A 5,003-nucleotide genomic window follows, 5' to 3' on the forward strand; every position below is an offset into this window, starting at 1 on the left:
TTCTACATTTAACCTAATTTTATTCATGCTTGCCTTGGGATGGGGAATAGATCATTCAGTAAAAACATACAGTAAAAACAAAATGTCTTATCACGTACAACTTTTAAACTACAACAATGATGTACCTTAATTACTTCCATGCACACAAGTCTAACATTCTTTTTTTTAACAAACACAATTAAGACTTCTAGGAGCACTTCATAATAAAGTAATTCCTAATTAATTTTTCTTTGTAGATAGATCAAGCACCTCCAGAATACAAATTCCTATACACAGTGAGCACGTTACTGTGTAACACCTAAGTAAATGAACTCCTAAGTAAATTAAGTACGTGGACAGCTTTAAGATAAGCTGACATTATATATTCAGCTAGGTAGGCAACAAACCATAGAGCCAAATGGAAAAAGTGTATTTGCAAATAAATTTTTAAAACTAAGTTAATTTTTATAATTAAATACAGAAAATATACTGATTTGCTAAAATAAATAAGATGTGATGTATTAACACTTCACAGTAATGCAGAACTTTTATAAACAACAAATGAGTCTTATTAAGAATAGTTTACTACAATAAATGCTGGCTAAATAGAAGTGCATATTGTGAAGCACTGTGGGTGGTATATGTGTTGCCACATACTCTTGTTACCTTGAGGTAGATAACACATGTGTGCCAAACTCGGCATTCATTTTCAGTTGCTGCTGGTATCATGTGTTTTAAGAAATGTGTATAGTATGAAAAACTGGAAAATACTCATGAATGAAAAATGTCTTAGGAAAAAATAGACATTTTCATGCAATTATGTAGAGTCTCACTGTGTAAATTTCAAGGCAAGATTTGTCTCCTATAAAACAGATCACTGTTCTATGAAAGAATGTTCTTTACTTGTCTTAGTGCATTCCTTTTGTCTCCTTCTACATTGCATTATTTTGCTCTATTCTTCATTTTTGTGTGCAAATGGCATGCCAGTTAAAATGAAAACTATCTCACCTATAGAAAAAGACAGTCTGGATTTTAAAACCAAGAACTAATAAAATCCTTACTAAATGACACCACTGGATTCAAGTAAAAAATGACTTAAACACTAGTAATAAAAAAAGACAAGCCCATTTCATGAAGAATTCAAAGATAAATGTCTGCTGAATATTTTAGCTCAGATGTTTCAGAATGCTGCTGTATGTTTGATGAGGAATTTGAGGGGAAGATTTCATAGCAGAAGGTGTTCCTGTGGCCTGTGTTGACTTAAGTGGTGACCCAACTGGACTGTGAAACTGCGGGATGCCTATGGACTCGAGCTGCTTGTTAGAGAGGAACTCCCCACTGTTGTTCAGAAATCCTTCCTCATTTCCTCTCTCTCCAAGCTTCCCATCCTCTACTGGCTCAGTTTCTAGCATTTCAGGATCTTCTTTCCTGCTAAAGAACTTGTCCAAGTAACTGGTGTGAGTGTTTTCCTTCTCAACTTGTTCATCCTTCCTTACCTCACAAAACTGATTTGTGAGAAAACAGTCCTCCCCACCACTCACAAACTGGCTGTCCCAAGAAGATTGGTACGAGGCTTCTAATTGAGCCAGATTTGCCATTCCTTTTTCCTGTTTTTCTTGGCTTACTGACTTTGGTATCAAACTTTTCAATTCTAGTTGGGACACTGAGCTATTCAAGTCATTTATCAACAACATCAGTAGGCTCATATTGGGAACTAAGATGAACAGTTCCTGCAATAAAAGAATCAAAGTCAAACCCCTGTTTCTTTTCTCTTTCTTTTCCAGCCAGTTGCTATGATGCTTCCTCTAGTGCTATCTGGGCTTTAACCAATCCATACCTTTCACATTTTGATTTGCCTTTCTTATCAGATTTTTCTTTGCTTTGTTCTTTCCAATTGGAAAGATCTATAACAAGCCTGAGTTCATAGTAATGGTTAACTTCACTCCCTCTCCAAGCTAAGTTATCTAAATATGATGATGACCTCGTTTTGTAGTTACAAGTATGGCTACATTCCAGATCACAATATTTGTTTTCATGATGATCCTTGGTACTGCCAACAAGGCTCAGTAGAATAATTGGTATCAAAAGTAAGGTCCTCCAGATACTTTTCCCAATCTCCATCCAAATATTTTCGGGGATCAACTTGTACTTCTTTTTCATCAGTGACATCAGACAGAGCTCTTGGATCAGGCTGAAATTCATCAATATCAAAGTTGTTATGTACAGGCCAATCACAATCTGAAAGCTGACTATCATGGTACCTTTCCCAGTTATAAATGTAACTGTGAGTTTCATCCATAAGCAAAATATTATCAACTTCATCTTCAATACGAAAAGGATGGCTTGAAATTGGCTCATCCGTTGGAAAAGAGTATATGCTCATGTAAGAATGGGAGAGAGCTTCTGCTGTTAACCAATCCATGGAGCTAAATGTAAAAATTTGTTCCAGGAAATCCAGTGCTTCTCGACTAATTCCTGGAAACACCTGAGTTAAAGGTTTGTGTGGCTCAGTCATGTCATTTCTAATGTAAACTGGAATTACACTGAGAAGCTCCTGATGATCTTCAAAACAGGAATCGATTATAAAATCAGTTGCATCTGTTCAAGTTCATGTGCACCTGCAAAAAGGATTTTACCAGTCAGCATTTCAGCAAAGATGCAGCCTGCAGCCCACATGTCAATGGCTTTAGTATAATTGTTAGGAGAAAGTAAAAGACGTGGAGATCTGTACCATTTAGTAACCAATCCTTCAGAAAGATGACCCTTATGGGAATAATGAGTATTCGTAATCCGTGCAAGACCAAAGTCACATATCTTCAGCACCAAGTCTTCAGTATTAATGAAAAGATTCACTGGTTTGAGATCTCTGTGCAGTACATTTGCAGAGTGAATATTCTTGACCCCCCGTAGCAGCTGATACATGAAAAGCCTGGCATGCTCTTCCAGTAAAGTGCCCTGCTCCAGCACATTAGCTAGGTCTGTCTCCATGTACTCCTGAGCAATGTAAACACTGTTCAGCTCTGTAAGAGAGCCCACATCGTCTGTTTCGCCTGGGACCAAGAATTTCAAACACTTTCACAGTGTTGTCATGGTCAAGTCTTCTAATAATTTTGATTTTACGTACAGCGTGTTTGACATTCTGGGGATTGGTGAGAACCATTTTCTTGATGGCCACTCTTTTGTTACAGTCATTGTCTATAGCAGAAAAAAACCAAGCCATTGCCTCCACAATCCAATGGTTTTAAGACCATATACCTGGAACCCAGATCAAAACCATGAATGTTCATGAGACTTTCAAATTTCTCTGCCATTTTGAAACCCTTACTATTGCCTTTTCCTTTCGAATTGTTGAACTTGTGTAAACAAGGAAGAAAATTGGCATCAGAAGGAAAGATCTTTCAAAAAGGGAGAAGAAAAATAATTATGGTTCCACAGCAAGATGGTTTCTTGATGTTCACTGCATATGTCAAACAGGCCTGTTGAGTTACCCTTAGACTTAAAGCTCAAAAAGCTCTACTCACAAGGAGAATTAAAAAGATTGCAGTACTCATAGTTCAAGAAAGGGGCAGCAACTCTGCAGACATTTAAAGAAAACACTCAAGAAACTCAAACGGCATGAAATGACATATTATGCACTCAGATTACTGTGCTAAATGATATGACATTTAACAAACATGTGAATAAATATGCACACAACAGTCTTCTATGAACATTCTCCTCACAGTACAGATACATTCAGTGTTGGACTAGTCCTGAGCAGCATTGTTCTAAGGTGCTGGCAAGCACTATTTCTGTTTTGCTTCTTTTCTTCCTTTGTTGCTATATATTTCAACAGGAAGCCCTGGCGGCTGTTGGTTAACAGAAGATGTCTTCTGTTAGTGATCAGGTGGCTCTAGCTCACCACGATCACAATCAAAGCTACCGTCCATCTTACTCTGATACAACGGGACTTTTGCAACTCCTCAAGAGAGTGTGGGGCCCGCGGACAGCCCCCAGTGTCGGCTTAGGTCTCTGGCTGTCCTGGCGGCAGCAGCATCTCTGAGGTTCTCGCTTTGCCACAGTCACCGCTATGTAACCCCTACCCGTGAGAGCCAAGTGACCAAGTTTAAATTGTGGAATCCTCCTCCTCTCCTAGGGTCTGCAATATTCAGTGTTTTATTTATTTATTTATTTATTTATTTATTTATTTATTTGCTTATTTATTTTTGGAGACAGAGTCTTGCTCTGTCGCCCAAGCTGGAGTGCAGTGGCGTGATCACAGCTCACTACAACCTCTGCCTCCCAGGTTCAAGTTACTCTCCTGCCTCAGGCTCTGCAGTAGCTAGGATCACAGGCACCCACCACCACACTCAGCTAATTTTTGTATTTTTAATAATGAAGAGGTTTCACCATGTTGGCCAGGCTGGTCTTGAACTCCTGACCTCAGGTGATCCACCCGCCTTGGCCTCCCAAAGTGCTGGGATTACAGGTGTGAGCCACCGTGCCTGGCCTAGTATTCAGTGTTTTAAATTTCTGAACAAATCAACTCCAAAATACCAGGGGCTTACTAACGGAGCTTTGTGGCACGTGTGGCAGCCTCATGTGGCTGTGCAAATGGGTGTGCAGTTATCCTACCCAATGATTCTGGAACCTGAGTTTCTTCCTTCCCATACTTTGCTGCTTCCTAGGGCCTCCTCAACCTCTGCCATCCACCTACCAGAAGACTAAAGAGAGTGGGAGAGGCACAACCACTTCTTGAAATCTGGGTGGGACACTCCTAATCATTCTTAACTAGTCATATTGGCTGGAACTAACTACATGGCCAGATGCAGATGCGATGGAGACGCAGCGGGTGGAAGGGGGGATTTAAGCAGAAGCAATTAAAATCAAAGCAAGCAGGCATAAAAGTGCCTTGTATATTCCAAGAATGGAGATTTGTCTGCTTCTCTCCAAAATTACGTGTAGAAAGCAAGGGATAAGGACTGGAGTCAAAAGATAACATAAAACTAAAGTGTGAGGAACTTGAAAAGTGGATGGGGTCTGAA

General features: G+C 39.4%; 1 pseudogene; it reads right to left on the minus strand.

Moving 5' to 3' along the window:
- On the minus strand, positions 1–4,070 carry MAPK6P4 (mitogen-activated protein kinase 6 pseudogene 4; annotated as a pseudogene).

This window comes from Homo sapiens, chromosome 8 (assembly GCF_000001405.40).
Source record: "Homo sapiens chromosome 8, GRCh38.p14 Primary Assembly".
NCBI classification, from domain to species: Eukaryota; Metazoa; Chordata; class Mammalia; order Primates; family Hominidae; genus Homo; species Homo sapiens.